The sequence below is a fragment of the Homo sapiens genome, chromosome 22 (assembly GCF_000001405.40).
Source record: "Homo sapiens chromosome 22, GRCh38.p14 Primary Assembly".
NCBI classification, from domain to species: domain Eukaryota; kingdom Metazoa; phylum Chordata; class Mammalia; order Primates; family Hominidae; genus Homo; species Homo sapiens.
In genome coordinates, this window is record NC_000022.11 from 25,635,215 (window position 1) to 25,653,594 (window position 18,380).

Here is an 18,380-nt window from a genome sequence, read left to right on the forward strand (position 1 = left end):
AGTTTCATTGTTTGCATACATTTTGCCTCATTTGTTTCATTATTCATTCTTTTTATGATTTTTGGGGGGTGTAATTTAGAGACATCACTCCTCTTGACCATTATATGTTTCAGCCCCTATTTCTTAAGAACAAGGTTATTCTTTTAGAGAACCACAGTACAATGTTCAAAATCAGGACATTGAACACAGATATAATACTATAATACTACTGTCTAATCCAAAGTCCATATTCATATTTCAACAATTGTTCCCCAAAATGTTCTTTTTTGCTATAATTTTTCCTGGTTCAGGATTGAGTGTGGGATCATGCCTGCATTTCCTTCTCATACCTTTAGTCTCCTTTAATCTGGACTATCCCTCAGCTTTCTTTTACTTTCTTGACCTTAACATTTGTAAAGACACTTTTGTCAGGAGACCATAGGTCAGATGTCGTGTTGTTCTCAAGGCATCATAATGTTACGTTGTCCCAAGTCTGATGATTGTTAATTTTGACCATTTGCTTAAAGTGGGTGTTTGCTAGCATCCTCCACTGTTAGTTATGAGTTTTCCCTTTGTAAGTAAGTAACTCGTGGAAGTTACTTTTGCACTACGTAAATATTCTGCTCCTACTCAAACTTATCCACTAGTTTTGGCACCCATCAGTTTTCTGACTCCATCATTCATTCCATAGTTTTTGACTGGCATTTGACTATTAAGAAAGCGCTTTTCCTTCTCCCTATTTATTTGCTATTTATATCAGTATGCACTCATAGATCCTTAATTTATCTAATGGGTTATGATCTATGACTCTTCTTATTTATTTTGATGTTCAAATTTTCCCAGTTTTGGCTACTAGGAGTGCTTTCAAGCTGGTTCCTGTTCATATAGCTCCATCATCCTACAAGTGCTTGCTTACTTTCTAGCAGATGTTTAAAGCTCATGTTGTTATTTATTCACTGTCCTTGCCCTAGAATCAATCAGCCTTTTCTCTAAGGAGCTCTAGTTGCTTTTAATGGAGAATAGTGTTTAGCAGCCTAAATTTGGACACTAGAAGTGCTCATTGCTGCCGGTGTGTCATTGCTTCTAGACCTTTATAAACAGAGCAAGGAAATGTTTGTGTGTATGTGTACGTGTTCACATATCTACCTACCAGAAACAATGAATTCAAATAGATACTCCCATTCCAATTCAGTGCTACAATGTACATTCTGTTCTCTTTCCATATTTTAACTCTCTTATCCAAAAAGCCTCTTATTATCCTCAATATATTTACTCATTTGTGTAAGCCTAGAGTACACTGTAAATAGTTTCCGAACTGCTAACTCATACTGCTGTGAAAGCAAACCTACTAGCTAGAGTTAATATTTGTTTCCAGTTCTTTTTTAAGGTAAATTTACTTACAGTACTGTACACAATTTAATTCTGATAAATGTATTGACCCACATAACCCCTACCTCTATCAAAAGACAGAATATTTCCATTCTTAGAAAGTTCCTTCATGCCTCTTCCCAGTCAATTTCATGTTCATAGACGCAAGCATTTTTCTGATTTTTTTTTTAAAAACCATAGATCAGTTTTGCCTGTTCTAGAATGTATATATATAGAATTACGCAGCATATACTTCTTTGTATCTGGCAACTTTTGACCAACGTAATGTCTGACATTTACTGATGGTGATGGTAAAGTTTCGTAGTCAACCTGGCTACGTTAAATGTGATACCCAGATAGCTGGTAAAACATTATTGCTGGGTGTGTCTGTGAGGATGTTTCTGGAAGAGACTAGCATTTGAATCAGTGTAAAAAGATCCACCATCAGGGATATGGGTGGCTATTGCCCAATCCATTGAGGGCCTGCAGGAATAGAACAAAAAGGTGGAGAAAGAGCTCATCCTTTCTCTCTTTTTGAGCTTGGGCATCTATCTTCTCCTGCCCTTGGACATTGGAGCTCCAGTTTCTCAGGCCTTGAGACTCCAGGATTGATACTAGCGCCTTTTCCTGGTTCTCAGACCTTTGGCCTTGGCTTGGGAGTTACACCATTGGTTCTCCTGGTTGTCAGGTCTTTAAGCTTGTACTGAGTTACACCATCTGTTTCTCCAGCTTGCAGACAGCATAGCATGGGACTTCTCGGCCTCCATAATCATGTGAGCCAATTCCTGTAAGTCTCCTCTTACTTGCTTATATGTTTCTCTGGAGAACCCTGACTAATACAGGTACAATGCTGGATGTATCAGTAGTTTGTTTTGTTTTATTGCTGAATAGTATTCCACTGTGTGAAAATATCACAATCTACTTATCTTCCTGTTGATAGTCTTTGAATCATTTCAGATAAGTTATGAATAAAGCTGCCATGAAGATTCCCTATACAAGTCTTTTTGGAGATATAAGTTTTCATTGGATAAGTATCTAATAGAGGAATCACTGCATTGTGTAAGTGTGGGTGTAACTTTATAAAAACTTTCAAGCTATTTTCCTAAGGGACTGTATATTCTTTACCATGCTCCAAATCTATATAATGCAGCATTCTCCAGTGATAGAAAAGTAATAGGATATGTGTATATAGACAGAAAGAGACTTATTGTAAGGAACTGGCTTATGTGATTATGGAGACGGGCAAGTCCAAATCTGCAGTGTGAGCTGGCAGGCTCGAGATCCAGGATAGCTGATGGTGCAGATGAAGTCTGGAGGCAGTCTGCTGGGAAATTCTCCCTTCCCTGGGGCATCTGATCTTTTTGTTCTGTTCAGGCTTTCAGCTGATTGGATGCAGCCCACCTACGTTATGGGGAGCAATCTGCTTACTCGCAGTTTACTGATCTAAATTTTAATCTCATTCCAGGACACTCTCCAAGATGAAATTAACCATCACACATCCACCCCTTGTCATCCTGGTGCTCATACACATCTCCTTACACCACGATTAATCTCCACTAAAGGCGATAACAAGGTCATACTTCCACCTAACATGATACAACTAGTCTGCGTACAATGGAAGATGCATTGACTCTTTTCCCAGAAAAGGATGCAAAGTCCTTGGATGATGTTTGCTCTTTTCTTCGATGTCTTGCAACTTAAATACCATCATGTAAAGTTAACAATATTTAAATGCTACACTAGGAAGTCAGTATGTCTTCTGTTACATGATAAAGGGACAAGAAGTGGAGAAGAAAGCAAAGATATTTGCTTAACATACACACACACAATAAGGGGGAAACACTCATGACAGTTGCAGTCCTCATTCCTGTAACTGGTCACATGGTTGTAGCTGGTATTCCTTACTCCCATGGATTACGTGTTCCCTTTACCATCAGCAAGCACCTCAGTCGGTCATAGTTCTGTACCTGGTGGGATGACTTGAATCATTACTCCTAAAAGGTCTGGGCCATTCATAGCCCTGCCTGAATTGGGTTATAGTTTTCCCTTGACTTTAATCACAGGCCATAGTAATAGTGGGGGGATACCCTAGGAAATCTCCTGTATTCCAGACATGCTTTTCCTTATCTCTCTAGTGTGGATCCCCTTGGCAGTCAGGATCAGTTACTCCAGTCAACACAAGATCTCCCTTCTCTGCCTGCTGATTCAGAGGCATGGGGGACCCAAGGTATTGTCCGTCCTCCTCAGCAACTCATTGGAGTTCTGGCTGCCTTGTATCCCTGCTGGCAGTTGGGGTTGTCAATATTTAACTTAGCCATTCTAGTAGTTGAGAAGGGATATCTTAGAGTGGCTTAATTTACATTTACATGATGACCAATGATGCTGAGTCCCTTTCATGGGCTTACTGGCTGTTTCTATCCCTTTCTTGTGAGGTGTTCCTGTGTTGTGATGTGTTCAAATCTTCCTTGAGTTCTTTTATTGAGTTGTTCTTCTTTTAACATGGATTTGTAAGAATTGTCTTTGTTTGTTTCTTTGAATCCAAATTTACAAGGCATTTTTTCTAACTTAGGTTTTATAATATTTTACCCCAGTCCATGGCTGGTCTATTTTTTAACACTGTCTTTTGAAGAACAGAAGTTCTACATTTTGATAAAGTATAATTTATCATTTCTTTCTTTACCCTGCCTAAGAAATCTTTTGCATAAAGATTTTCTGTGAAGATATTCTATATATATTCTAGAAGCATTATAATTTTAGCCTTCACATTTAGTTCTATGATAATCCTTAATTTAATTCTTTATAAGGTGTGAGGTAACAATTCCTTTCATCTTTTTCCCCATATGGATATCAGCTTTCCCAGCATCATTTGTTGAAAAGACTTAAATTGACTATATAAATGTGGGCATATTCTGGGACCTTATATTTCTGTTCCAGTGATTTAATCTAATGCCACTACATTATATAGCCATATTAATCAATCTAATGTATTGATTAAGATTAGTATGGCTATGTAATGAGTCTTGAAATTGGATAGCGTTAAGGCTTTGAACTTTGTTCTTCTTTCTTAAGATGTTTTGGGTATTCTAGGTTTTTTGCATTTCCATATATATTTTCGAATCAGCTTGTCAGTTTCTTTAAAAAGGCCTGTTGGAGTTATGATTGTAATTGCACTGAATCTACAAATTATTCTGGGAAGAATTAACATCTAAGCAATACTAAATCTTCCAGTCCATGAACTGAGTATGTATTTCCATTTATTTAGATCTTCTTTAATTTCTCTCAGTAACATTTTATAGTTTTTAGCATACTGTTCTTGTATGTCATTTATTTGTTTATTCCTATGTATTGATAGTTCTTTGTTATTACAAATTGACTTGTTTTTAAAATTCCATTTTAAAATTGTGTGCTATGAGTTTATAGAAATTTCATTGGTTTTTATCTAATGACCTTATGTCCTGTGGCCTTGCTAAATTTACTTACATATTCTAGTAGTTACTTATAGATAGGATTTGCCAGGTAGGTAACCAGATTGAATAGAATCAGTTTTAGTTCTTCCTTTTCAATTTGAATAACTGTTATTTCATTTTCTTACTTTATTGCATTGGCTAGGACCTCCAATACAATGTTGAAGAGGAGTGAGATTACATATTGCAGCATTTTCTTATCTGACATGCATTGTATTTTGTTTGTCTCACAGCTCAGAAAGGCCTTACTGACCATTCTGTCTGAAATACATCTTCCTCTTTTTATCATTATCTCAGCATCATACTTAATTACTTTATATTCCTTGTCATAAATTATATGTATTTCTTTGTTGTCTGTCTCTTACACTAATCCGTAAGCGCTTTATTGGAAAAACACTGTTTTCACAATCACATCCTCAGTGAATAACACAGTGGCTCTTAGTAGATACTCAGTAAATGTTTTGTAGAATTAGTCAATATTGGGAGGAAGTTTTAGCAGTTATGCAGTCTATTCTCCTTACTGTCTTAATCTCCTTGGCAAAACTGAGGACAAGTATTTTTTCTTGCAAGAAAATTTTCATATTTCTCTTTTCACCTTTCTAATTTTTAGGAGATTTAATTTCAAATTTTCTCATAGAAACCACTTATATTTAATACTTTCAAAAGTTCTTAACTTACATTTTATAAAAAGCAATACAATTCTTTCTACTAATTTTTGAAAAATTATCGTGATGGCGGGTGTTACATACACTAAAAAGTTAATCAATATTCAGCATTTTGCAGTGGTTCAAATATAGCAACAAAGTAAACACATTTCACAAATATCTACTAAGCAGGTGTTAGGTCACCATTTTTTACTCTTTAAGATCTGGAGAAATTGCAGCGATGAAGTGAACTTGTTAGGCAAAATATTTCCTTATTTTTGCCTCTCATATTTTGCCCTAATCTAGGCCATGCTTCATTTGCTTTTTATATAATTTAAGGCTGATGAAGGTAAGTTGCGTTCAGCCTAGGACACAGTGATCTAGGATTTAGCCAAAAGGCAAATATCTTTCTTCCTGCTGCTCAATTTTAGCAGCTCCATTTAAACAGCTGGTAGAAAGTAAAGCTTCAGTTTATGTGCACATAGGAGGAAAATAATATTTTGTGTTTTCTATTGTGTGTTGAACTAAGTCCTTGGCTTATTCTACTGACCGACAATGGAGATTTCCTTAAATAAATAGGTAAACACATTCTAAGTTGGGTGTTCATTCATTCAACTCCCTCTTTCCCTCATCCCTCCTCTTTCTGTCCTCTTCCTTCCTCCTTTCCCCCGACTTCCCTCCCTCTCCTTGTACCTTTGCTCTTTCTTCTACCTTTCTTCCTTTGTTCTCTCTCCTGAGCTCTGTCTTTGTTACAGTCAATGCTCTTGTGCAAATGTAGTAGAGAATAAAACACCTGTACCCTATGCATTGCAGCTTACATTGTAGTGGGAGAGGTAGACAGTAAAGAAGCAAATATAAACATGCGACAATTTTTGCTCATCGTAAGTGCTACAAAGTGTTTTGTGGTGTGTGTGTGTGAATGGATGCGAGATAGAGACAGCAGGACAGTGAGAATGAATGAGAATCATGAAAGGCCTCCTCAAGGAAAGGGATATGTGAAGTGAGCTAGTGAGCTGTTCATTTAGAAGATCCAGGAAAAGTGTGTGAGGCAGTGGGAATAGCCGGTAAGAAACCCTGAGAAGGGAATGAGCTTGGTGTCAGAGAAACTACAGTACAGAAGCTTGGCCTAAGTGAAGTGAGCTTGGGGGGAGCACTGTGAGATGAGGCCAGAGAAGGAAATGGTGACTCCAGAGGACGTGGGTAGGCTATGGTGAAGAGTTTCAGTTTGATTCCAAGTGTAGTCAAAAGACAGTGGTCCATGTGTGGTATTATTTCATTTTGTCATTTAGACATTTTGAAAACATCTCTAATTTGATCAAAATACTTAAGTTCAAATTCTCATGTTAGTTTTGTCTTCCAGAAATAGAAAAAGAAATACATGTGGCAAAAACTGACAACATTGAAAAAAGATGAACAAATCTACAATTACAAATGGAGAGTTCAACACTTCACTGTTGATGATGGATAGAATAAATAGACAGATGGCCGCGCGGTGGCTCACGCCTGTAATCCCAGCACTTTGGGAGGGCAAGGCGGGTGGATCACCTGAGGTCAGGAGATCGAGACCAGTCTGGCCAACATGGTGAAACCCCGTATCTACTAAAAATGCAAAAATTAGCCGGCCATGATCGCGGGTGCCTGTAATCCTAGCTACTCGGGAGGCTGAGGCAGGAGAATTGCTTGAACCTGGGAGGCAGAGGTTGCAGTGAGCCAAGATCGCGCCATTGCACTCCAGCCTGGGCGACAGAGCAAGACTCCATCTCAAAAATAAATAAATAAATAAACAGACAGACATTCTGTAAAGATTCAGAGGATGATCTTTTATTTCTATGGATTTAGGGGGTACAAGTGCAATTTTGTTACCTAGATACATTGCATAGTGGTGAACTCTGGGCTTTTAGTGTACATTGTACTCAATCTGTGATTTTTCATGGCTTACTCCTCTCCCATCCTCCTGCCTTTTGGAGTTTCCAGTGTCTATTATTTTACTCCCTATGTCCATGTGTACCCATTGTTTAGCTCCCACTTGTAAATGAGAATGTGCAGTATTTGAGTCTCTGTTTCTGACTGACTTCACTTAGGATAATGGCCTTCAGTTCCATCTGTGTTGCTGCAGAGGACCATCTTGAAGAACTCTATCAAGCCCACTTGGTTTAATTGCCTTTGTATTCTTTTAAATGAAACACTCCACCCTATAAGAACAGAATGCACCCTTTCTTCAAGTGCCATACAGCATTCCGTTAGATAGACCAAAAGTTTCAATGCATTTAAAAGCATTGAAATCATACCAAGCATGTTCTCTGACCACAACAGAGCTAAACAGAAAATCAGTGTCTGAAAAATCCCCAAATATTTTGAAATTAAACTACACCCTTCTGAAGGACTCACGGATCAAAGAAGAAATGACAAGGGAAATTAGAAAGTCCTTTGAAATGAATAAAAATGAAGAGACAACGATTACTCTTAAAATCAGAATACTAACATACGAACAGATAGAGATGTGTATCCTTCCCATTTGCCTGCTTCTTGAATTTCCTACTTCCTGCCTATGTTGGGGTCGTTGCAGTTTCTCCATGGGAGGAGCGTGGCTGTGCTCCTGCTGCAGGTGTGCGCCTGACCCTGGTAAAGTCTGGCTATGCCTATTTAACTAGTACTCTTAGTCATTCTACTCTAGTTTGAGTGAACGAACACTTACCATTTTCAAAGGCCACGTTCCGGGAACTATGAGGGGAATTTATGGATCAGTTACAGACCAGTTCAAGTTACAAGATCCTTATGCTAATGTTAATTAAAATCTCATCACAGCCACTTCCTTTTTCAGTCCCACCTGGGGAATTCTGGTCCACTTCATCTCTACATGGTAGACTTTGTGAGTCTTTCTTCAGTTCCTTTCTGCAGCTTCTGTTTCTGCGAACTCTCCGTTTAATTGTTTTGACTTTTTGGAATTTTATAATCTTCAAGTATCTCTACCTTCAGTCTGGTATCAGCTTGTTCTATTTAATTTTGTTTATCTAGGCGTCACCATTAGGCATTAAGCTAGGCACTAGGTTTTCAAATGGAATGGGAGCCTTATAAATCAGGTAATTAATTAGTGTGTGGTAAATATTTTGACAGAATGTTGGAAAGGCTAAGTAAACATTCATTCAGTGAACATTTATTGGCCACCTACTGTGTACCAGGCATTGTGCAATAGGGTCTGTCTCATCAGAGAAGACTTCAGAGCACAGTTGGCTTTTGAGTCCAATTCTGGTTATTTCAGGAGTTTTCAAGGTACAGAGAGGGGCGTGGTATTCTAGGCAAAGGTGTTTAAAGGTGAGGCTTGTAGTTGTGAAGGAGTAAAGCATGACCTGGGAATGGGTAATCTGCTCTGGCACTAGGTATTCGGTAGGGACTTGGAAATAGTGAGTGAGTGGCAAGAGAAAGGACTAGAAAGGTTTGGGAAGAAAGGACTAGAAGGGTTCTGGTGTTTTTTTTTTTGTTTGTTTGTTTTTTTTTTAGGGAGTTTGGTCCTATTTTAGTGGGCATAGTGTTTATTAGTGTCTTGGTGATTCTCACCAACACATACTGTCTGTATCTCTTATTCCTTTGGTTGTTATTTTGGTCACTACAATGGTCAGCGGCTCCAAGTGGTGGTGGTGAATGCCAGCCCTGTCGTATCATACTTTTGTGGAAAGTGGGGGGCGGGGGTGAACATGAATAGAGAAGGAATCCTGAAGCAAGGAGCCAAGTATGTGGTATTTTTCTGCCTGGAGTATTTCCTTCTAGGAATTAATTAATTCACTAGCTTCTTGAAATCTTTTTTTTAAAAAAAAAAGTAGAGGAGGAAGAGGTTGAGGTATAAACACATTGCTTTGAAAACACCCTTGTGGGATAAAATTTCAATTAATTGCCCACCCTGAAATTTTTTATTTTTTTCCTTTAGGTTTCTTGCTATTTAAAGATTTTTGTTTGAATGAAATTAATGAAGCTGTACCTCAGGTGAAGTTTTATGAAGAGGTAAGAAGTAACTGTTTTACTGATGCTTTTCTTTCAAAAGCATATTTAAACTGTACTTTGGAACATATTAAGACTACTTAATATCTTACAAATATTTAGAAATTCATTGAAAGTAATTAGTAGTGCAAAATATAGTATCAAGTTTGAGATGCTAACAGGTATGAAAAGCTGAGTATGCCATAAAAGTCGCATTCTTAAAGGCTTCAGAGTGCTATGGAAGCAATGAGGGACAGTTGGACTAAAGTTCCAGAGATGGGAGGCTCATCCAGAGCTGCACCAAGGAGGACCAGTTATTTTATTTTCTGTGGAAGCGTGCTAGTTCTGGAGATGTGAGCAGAGGCAGAGGACTGCTACTAGCTTTGAAAGAGATACTAGCCAAGGTTTTCTGGTCATAATGGACTGACAAATTGGAGATTTGGTGGGGGGTGTGGTGGGGTGCTCAAATGCATGACTGATTTTCCCCATAAGAAATTTGGTGAAATCTGAGGTTGGAGGGGAGCTGAAGAGAGAGGCCAGAAACTTCCAGAAGGCACATTGAAATCTCCTACAGCCTTACAGTGCCTAGGAAACACAGACCTGCTGGAGTCTGGAGTCTGAAAACAGAATGGGCGAGAGATGGAAACTCTAGAAGATGTGGTCTGGTGACATTGGGTATCTACAGCTACTTTTCACCTAGGGTTTCTGTTGATTTCAGGTGTAGCAGGCAGATGGGCATCCAGGCTTGGCTGCTTCTGGGAGACAAAAATTGCAGAAAAGGTTTCTGGAGCTAGAGTTTAAAAATAACACTAGAGGAGCCCCACATATGTGATTAGTCACCCTTTCAAAACACACGCCAAGTTTTCAAACTGAGTGGGGTGGGAGGCCAAAGAGCTAAGCTGAAAACTTGTAATGGGCAGAACTGACTCCAGTGCTAAGGAAATAAAAGTGTCTCCTTGAACTCCATAGACGGCGTGCCTTAGAAACAGGATCAAAGCAGGCCAGGCACGGTGGCTCACGCCTGTAATCCCAGCACTTTGGGAGGCCGAGGCGGGTGGATCACGAGGTCAGGAGATCGAGACCATCCTGGCTAACATGGTGAAACCCCGTCTCTACTAAAATACAAAAAATTAGCCAGGCGTAGTGGTGGGCGCCTGTAGTCCCAGCTACTCGGGAGGCTGAGGCAGGAGAATGGTGTGAACCCGGGAGGTGGAACTTGCAGTGAGCCGAGGTGGCACCACTGCACTCCAGCCTGGGCGACAGAGCGAGACTCCATCTCAAAAAAAAAAAAAAGAAACAGGGTTAAGGCAAAAGCAGACAGGGTCCTAAAAAATGACAACCCAACCTAGCGCCATCCCTCATTGGATGATGAGCTCCCTCCTTACCTGCTTACCAGAGTACAAAGGGAGCCCTTTTTTGTCTTTTTTATAGGTAGGTAATAACATTATATAAGGACTCTATAGTGTTTAGCATGCAGTAAAGAATTATGAGACATGCTAAGAAGCAAGATCATGTGAATCATAAATAAGGCAATAAAAGCAGGCCAGCAGGTGAGTCAGATATTGGAGTTAGCAGACAATAACTTTAAAATAACTATGAATCATATGTTCAAGAAAAAAGAGAAAAAGATGGACAAAATAGATGAAGGGATACATAATTTCAGGATAATTTGAATTTATTATGAAGACTTAACCACTTTAGAACAGAAAGTACTATATTTGAAATTAGAACTAATGGTTCAGTTCAATAGCAGATTGGTTAGAGTTCCAGACACATGTAGGTTTGGAGTTTCAGAAAGAGAAGGGAGAGAATAGGGCAAAAGCAATATTTGAAAAGATAATACTAAGAATTTTACAAAATGATGAAAGACAGCAGCTAACAGAGTTGAAAGCTTAGGAAACCCTAAGCAGAATGAATACATATGAAACACACCTTTGGGTGTCAATATAAGACTATGGAAACTATGACAAAGTTTTTAAACTAGGAAAAAAATATTTAAAATAGCCATGGTGAGCAGTGGGAAGACACAATACTTTTAAAGAGCAGCAATTTGACTGACTGACATCTTAAGAAAAATGATTTTTAAAAAAAGACAGTGAGGCTGGGCACAATGGCTCACGCCTGTAATCCCAGCACTTTGAGAGGCCAAGGCGGGTGGATCACGAGGTCAGGAGTTCAAGACCAGCCTGACCAACATGGTGAAACCCTGTCTCTACTAAAAATACAAAAATTAGCCAGGTGTGGTGGTGCATGCCTGTAATTTCAGCTACTCAAGAGGCTGAGGCAGGAGAATCACTTGAACCCGGGAGGCAGAAGTTGCAGTGAGCTGATATCTTGCCATTGCACTCTAGCCTGGGTGACCGAGGGAGACTTTGTCTCAAAAAAAAAAAAAAAAAAAAAAAGAAAAAGAAAAAAAATGAAATGGCCATCATTAAAGGAGAGAAAGATAATTGCCAGCCTAGAATTCTATTCCCAGCAAAAATTTCCTTCAAAAATGGAGGACGAGGAGGTGGAGGAAGGAGAGGGCCCCGGGCCTCACCTCCACCCACCGCCCCCTCCCACCACCCGGAGCTGCAGCAGCAGCGACTCATGAGAGCACAGCCAGAGGACAGATTTGATAATGGGCTGCATTAAAAGCAAAGAAAACAAAAGTCCAGCCATTAAATACCTGAAAATACTCCAGAGCCTGTCAGTACAAGGGTGAGCCATGGGAGCAGAACCCACTGCAGTGTCACCATGTCCATCATCTTCAGCAAAGGGAACAGCAGTTAATTTCAGCCGTCTTTCCATTCCATTATACCATTTGGAGGATCCTCAGGGGTAACACCTTTTGGAGGTGGGCATCTTCCTCATTCTCAGTGGTGCCAAGTTCATATCCTGCTGGCTTAACACGTGGTGTTACTATATTTGTGGCCTTATATGATTATGAAGCTAGAACTACAGAAGACCTTTCATTTAAGAAGGGTGAAAAATTTCAAATAATTAACAATACAGAAGGAGACTGGTGGGAAGCAAGATCAATCACTACAGGAAAGAATGGTTATATCCTGAGCAGTTATGTAGCGCCTGCAGATTCCATTCAGGCAGAAGAATGGTATTTTGGCAAAATGGGGAGAAAAGATGCTGAAAGATTACTTCTGAATCCTGGAAATTAATGAGGTATTTTCTTAGGAAGAGAGAGTGAAATGGCTGGGTGCAGTGGCTCATGCCTGTAATCCCAGCACTTTGGGAGGCCGAGTTGGGCGGATCACCTGAGGTCAGGAGTTCGAGACTAGCCTGGCCAACATGGTGAAACCCCATCTCTACTAAAAAAAAAAGTACAAAATTAGCTGGACGTGGTGGTGAGTGCCTGTAATCCCAGCTACTCAGGAGGCTGAGGCAGCAGAATCACTTGAACCTGGGAGGCGGAGGTTGCAGTGAGCTGAGATCGCGCCACTGCACTCCAGCCTCGGCGACAAGAGCAAAAACTCCGTCTAAAAAACAAATAAGCAAACAGAACAAAACAAAACAAAAACGAGAGAGCGAAACTACTAAAGGTGCTTATTCCCTCTCTATTCGTGATTGGGATGAGGTAAGGGGTGACAATGTGAAACACCACAAAATTAGGAAACTTGACAATGGTAGATACTATATCACAACCAGAGAACAACTTGATACTCTGCAGAAATTGGCAAAACACTACACAGAACATGCTGATGGTTTATGCCACAAGTTAACAACTGTGTGTCCAACTGTGAAACCTCAGATTCAAGGTCTAGCAAAAGATGCTTGGGAAATCCCTTGATAATCTTTGCGACTAGAGGTTAAACTAGGACAAGGATGTTTTGGCAAAGTGTGGATGGGAATATGGAATGGAACCACAAAAGTAGCAATCAAAACACTAAAACCAGGTACAATGATGCCAGAAGCTTTTCTTCAAGAAGCTCAGGTAATGAAAAAAATAAGACATGGTAAACTTGTTCCACTATATGCTGTTGTTTCTGAAGAGCCAATTTACATTGTCACTGAATTGATGTCAAAAGGAAGCTTATTCAATTTCCTTAAGGAAGGAGATGGAAAGTATTTGAAGCTTCCACAAATGGTTGATATGCCTGCTCAGATTGCTGATGGTATGGCATATATTAAAAGAATGAACTATATTCACCGAGATCTCTGGGCTGCTAATATTCTTGTAGGAGAAAATCTTCTGTGCAAAATAGCAGATTTTGGTTTAGCAAGGTTAATTGAAGACAATGAATACACATCAAGACAAGGTGCAGAATTTCCAATCAAATGGACAGCTCCTGAAGTTGCACTGTATGGTGGGTTTACAATAAAGTCTGGTGTCTGCTCATTTGGAATTCTACAGACAGAACTGGTAACAAAGGGCAGAGTGCCATATCCAGGTATGGTGAACCATGAAATACTGGAACAGGTGGAGCGAGGATACAGGATGCCTTGCCCTCAGGGCTGTCCAGAATCCCTCCATGAATTGATGAATCTGTGTTGGAAGAAGGACCCTGATGAAAGACCAACATTTGAATATGTTCAGTCCTTCTTGGGAGACTACTTCACTGCTACAGAGCCATAGTACCAGCCAGGAGAAAACTTCTAATTCAAGTAGCCTATTTTATATGCTCACATCTGCCAAAATGTGAAGAACCTGTATAGAATTTCTACAGGGATCAAAAGAAGAAAATCTTCTTTACTCTGCACATTTTTAATGGTAAACTGGAGTCCCAGATATGGTTCCACAAAACCACTTTTTTTTACCCCAAGTATTAAACTTTAAAGTACGATGATGAATTTTCCAACCGATTTCAGGGTCCAAAGAAAATAGAGCTAAGATACTGATGACAGTGTGAGTGATAGCATGGTAATGAAGGACAGTGAGGCTACTGCTTATAAATCATTTTCTTTCTTTTCTTCCCCAAAGTCAGAATTGCTCAAAGAAAATTATTTATTGTTATAGATAAAACTTGAGTGATAAAAAGCTATACCATAATAAAATCTAAAATTAAAGAATATCATGGGACCAAATAATTCCATTCCAGTTTTTTAAACTTTCTTATATTTATTATTCTCAAAAGTTTTTTCTGAGTTAAATAGTCAATAGGCAATCTTAATATATGCCTCCTTTTGCATGGACATGGGCCAGGTTTTTCAAAAGGAATATAAACAGGATCTCAAACTTGATTAAATGTTAGACCACAGACGTGGAATTTGAAAGTATAATGCAGTACGTTAACATTCATATTAATGGAACTGAAAAGTAGAATAAGAAATTTTTCACTTCAGTCCTTTTCTGAAGAGTTTGACTTAGAATAATGAAGGTAACTGGAAAGTGACTTAATCTTGTATGAGGTTGCATTGATTTTTTTTTTTTTTTGAGACAGAGTCTTACCCTGTTGCCCAGGCTAGAGTGCATTGGCGCCATCCTGGTTCACTGCAACCTCTGCCTCACTGGTTCAAGTGATTCTCCTGCCTCAGCCTCCTGAGTAGCTGGGATTACAGGTAGCACCCTGTAATCCCAGTGCCACCCTGTAATCCCAGTGCCCTGAGTAGCACCCGCCACCACACCTGGCTAATTTTTTATATCTTTAGTAGAGACGGGGTTTCACCATGTTGTCCAGTCTGGTTTCGAACTCCTGACCTCGTGATCCGCCTGCCTTGGCCTCCCAAAGGCATGAGCCATCATGCCCGGCAATTTTTTAAGGCAATATATAATTGAAACTGTACTATCCAATCCAAGGGGAAATCTTTTAATCTTTAGATAACATGCGGAGTAAGACCCAGCATTTAAAGAGCACTTTTAAAAAAATAGACTTGGTACTGTGAGATATTGCTAATATGTCCTTATGGTGATGGGTGCCACAAATAGAAAATAGAACCAGATCAGGGACTTGAATGCACTTTTGCTCATGTCGAAATAGATGAACAGAGAGAGTAAAATGTATTTCAAAGAAATACGAGAAAAGAAAATGTGAAAGTTTTACAAGAAGAGGGATGGAATGTAATGTTTAATGTTGATGTCATAGAGTGACAAAATGGCATTGTTGGCATTCATAGCTCCTCACTTAGCTATCTTCTGAGACTTTTAAGAGTTATAAGGTATAACTAACTATAAAACTAATTTTTCTTACACACTAAATGGGCATTATTTGTTCAAAATAGTGAAGTTTCGGCTTCACATTCATTCCAGTGGGATACGGCTTTTATGCAAAACATTTTTAGAACTCCAGTTTTCAAATCATGTTTGAATCTATATTCACTTTTAAAGTCTACTTAATGGTGGTCATTTTTTCCCCTTTAGAATATATTAAATAGTTGATTTGGGGAGGAAAACTTATTCTGAATATTAACAGTGGTGAAAAGGAATGTGGAAGTTAACCTTTACCAAAAGAGGAAGTTGGCAAAAACAGCCTTCTAGCACACTGTTTAAAATGAATAATGGCAGCCTAAACTTAACAGTTTTTACCCTGAAGTGCAAAAGTGAAACATACAAAATAAAACTATTTTTAAGAGTAACTAAAAAATTTCAAAATACAAATTTGAATAGCAGCATTAGTGGTATAAGTGTCTAGCAAAGGAAAAATTAAATCTAATAAATAAAATGAAGGTCTAGTGTGTATGTTATAAAATACTCTCTTACAGTCACACCTTAAATTAAACCTTATACTAGGTTCCTCTATTTTCAGGATATAATTCTTAACTATCATTATTTACCTGATTTAATCATTAGATTTGAAATTCTGTGCCATGGCATATACGTTCAAATTCAAACCATTTTAAAATGTGACAGATGGACTTCATGCAAGTTGGCAATGGTTCTCGTACTAAAAACTGTGGTTGTTTTTTCTGTTTACATAACCTGCTTAGTATTGACTCTCTACCAAGAGGGTCTTCCTAAGAAGAGTGACGTCATTATTTCCTCTTGTCAACAACTTGTGACATGAGATTCTTAAAGGGCTTTATGTGAACTATGATATTGTAATTTTTCTAAGTATATTCAAAAGGGTAACAAAATTATGTTATGTACTAAATCTGATCAGGAAAGTAAGCCAGGAAAAGTTGATGGTATTCATTAGGTTTTAACTGAATGGAGCAGTTCCTTATATAATAACAATTGTATAGTAGGGATAAAACACTAACTTAATGTGTATTCATTTTAAATTGTTCTGTATTTTTAAATTGCCAAGAAAAATAAACAACTTTGTACATTTGAAGAGTTTTTCCAACAGCTTTTCGTCTTCAGTGTCTTAATGTGGAAGTTAACCTTTACCAAAAAAGGAAGTTAGCAAAAACAGCCTTCTAGCACACTTTTTAAAATGAATAATGGCAGCCTAAACTTAATATTTTTATAAAGTATTATAATATTGTTTTGTGGATAATTGAAATAAAAAATTCTCATTAAAAAATGAAGTGATATAAGGATATAGTTAGACAAACAAAAACTGAGGGATTTGTCAATAGTGGACCTGCATGACAAGAAATACTAAAGGGAGGTACTTTAGTCAGAAGGAAAATGATCTGGCCAGGCATGGTGGCTCACGCCTGTAATCTCAGCACTTTGGGAGGCCAAGGCAGGCGGATCACGAGGTCAGGAGACCGAGACCATCCTGGCTAACACAGTGAAACTCTGTCTCTACTAAAAATACAAAACAGCCGGGTGTGGTGGCAGGTGCCTGTAGTCCCAGCTACTCAGGAGGCTGAGGCAGGAGAATGGCGTGAACCCGGGAGGCGGAGCTTGCAGGAAAATGATCCAGATGGAGATGCAGGGAGAAATGGAGAGCATGAAGGGTGAATATGTATGTAAAATATAAATGAATGTTGACTGTATAAAACAATAATGTCGTGTTTCTCGAGCTTAAAATAATCTAGAACTAAATTGCATGACAGTAGCACAAAATGCAGGGGAGGTTAATGAAGTTAAAATATTTTAAGTTTCTAGGATTATTGGGGGTTAGTGTAAGTAATAATTTTAGTATAAGTAATAATTTCCATTGGATTGTAATCAGTCAGGGATGTTTATTTTAATTTCTAAGATAATTTATAAAAGAATAGTGTATATAGTCATGCACTGCATAATGATATTAGGCCAACAAAAGACCACGTATATGACAGTGATCCCAGAAGATTTTAATACTATATTTTTACTGTACCTTTTCAGTAAAAGGTACGTATATTCAAAAGGTAAGTATATTCAAATGGTAAGTTTGAATATACTTACCATTGTGTTACAGTTGCCTGCAGTATTCAGTATAGTCACATGCTGCACAGGTTTGAATCCTAGGAGCAATAGGCTACATCATACGGCGTAGGGGTGTAGTAGGTATACGATGTAGGCTCTTGTAAGCATGCTCTGTGATGTTCACACAATTATGAAATTGCCTATTGACACATTTCTTAGAACATATCCCTGTCATTAAGCTCCACATGACTGTATATCTAACAAGTTAAAAGAGGGAAAAATTAAAACAACATTTGCTAATCAACAGAAAGGCAAAAAAAGGAATATAAGTAGGACATAAAATAGGTGGGTCAAATTGCAAACAAAGAGTAAGTAGCTACAAATCTATTTAAGTAATTACATTTCATGTAAAGGATTAAATACTCCAAGTAAAAGATTAGGTTTTTCAGACTGGATAAAGAACCAACCCTCCCCCAATATACTGCTTACAAGAGATATAAACACATGGATGGAAGAGGTGATATAATACGAACACTAACCAAAGCAAAGCCGGCATAACTACACTAGTATCAGGCAAACTATGCAATAATGCTGCTTTTAAATAAAGATATGTTTCTTAATGATAACAGGGCCAATCCAACAAAAAGATATCACAAACTGAAATCTGTAGGTTACAAATAACTTCAAAGAATATAAAGCAAAAATTGGCAGATATAAAATGACAAATCTATAATCCTGTTGGGAGATATTAACACATAACCTTCTAGAGCTTATAGAACAGAC

General features: G+C 38.3%; 1 protein-coding gene and 1 pseudogene across 4 annotated transcripts in view; both read left to right on the top strand.

The window, feature by feature from the left end:
• The window catches only part of GRK3 (G protein-coupled receptor kinase 3), a 164,620-nt gene that overhangs the window by 70,540 nt on the left and 75,700 nt on the right, over positions 1 to 18,380 (top strand). For 3 of the 4 annotated variants that reach the window (NM_005160.4, XM_047441167.1, XM_047441166.1), the window contains exon 3: positions 9,378 to 9,451. The exons of the other annotated variant lie outside the window; for it this stretch is intronic. In NM_005160.4, the coding sequence (NP_005151.2) occupies positions 9,378 to 9,451 (74 nt within the window). The remainder of the gene's footprint in view (positions 1 to 9,377; positions 9,452 to 18,380) is intronic. 4 annotated transcript variants of the gene reach the window in all.
• Positions 11,927 to 16,821, top strand: YES1P1 (YES1 pseudogene 1; annotated as a pseudogene).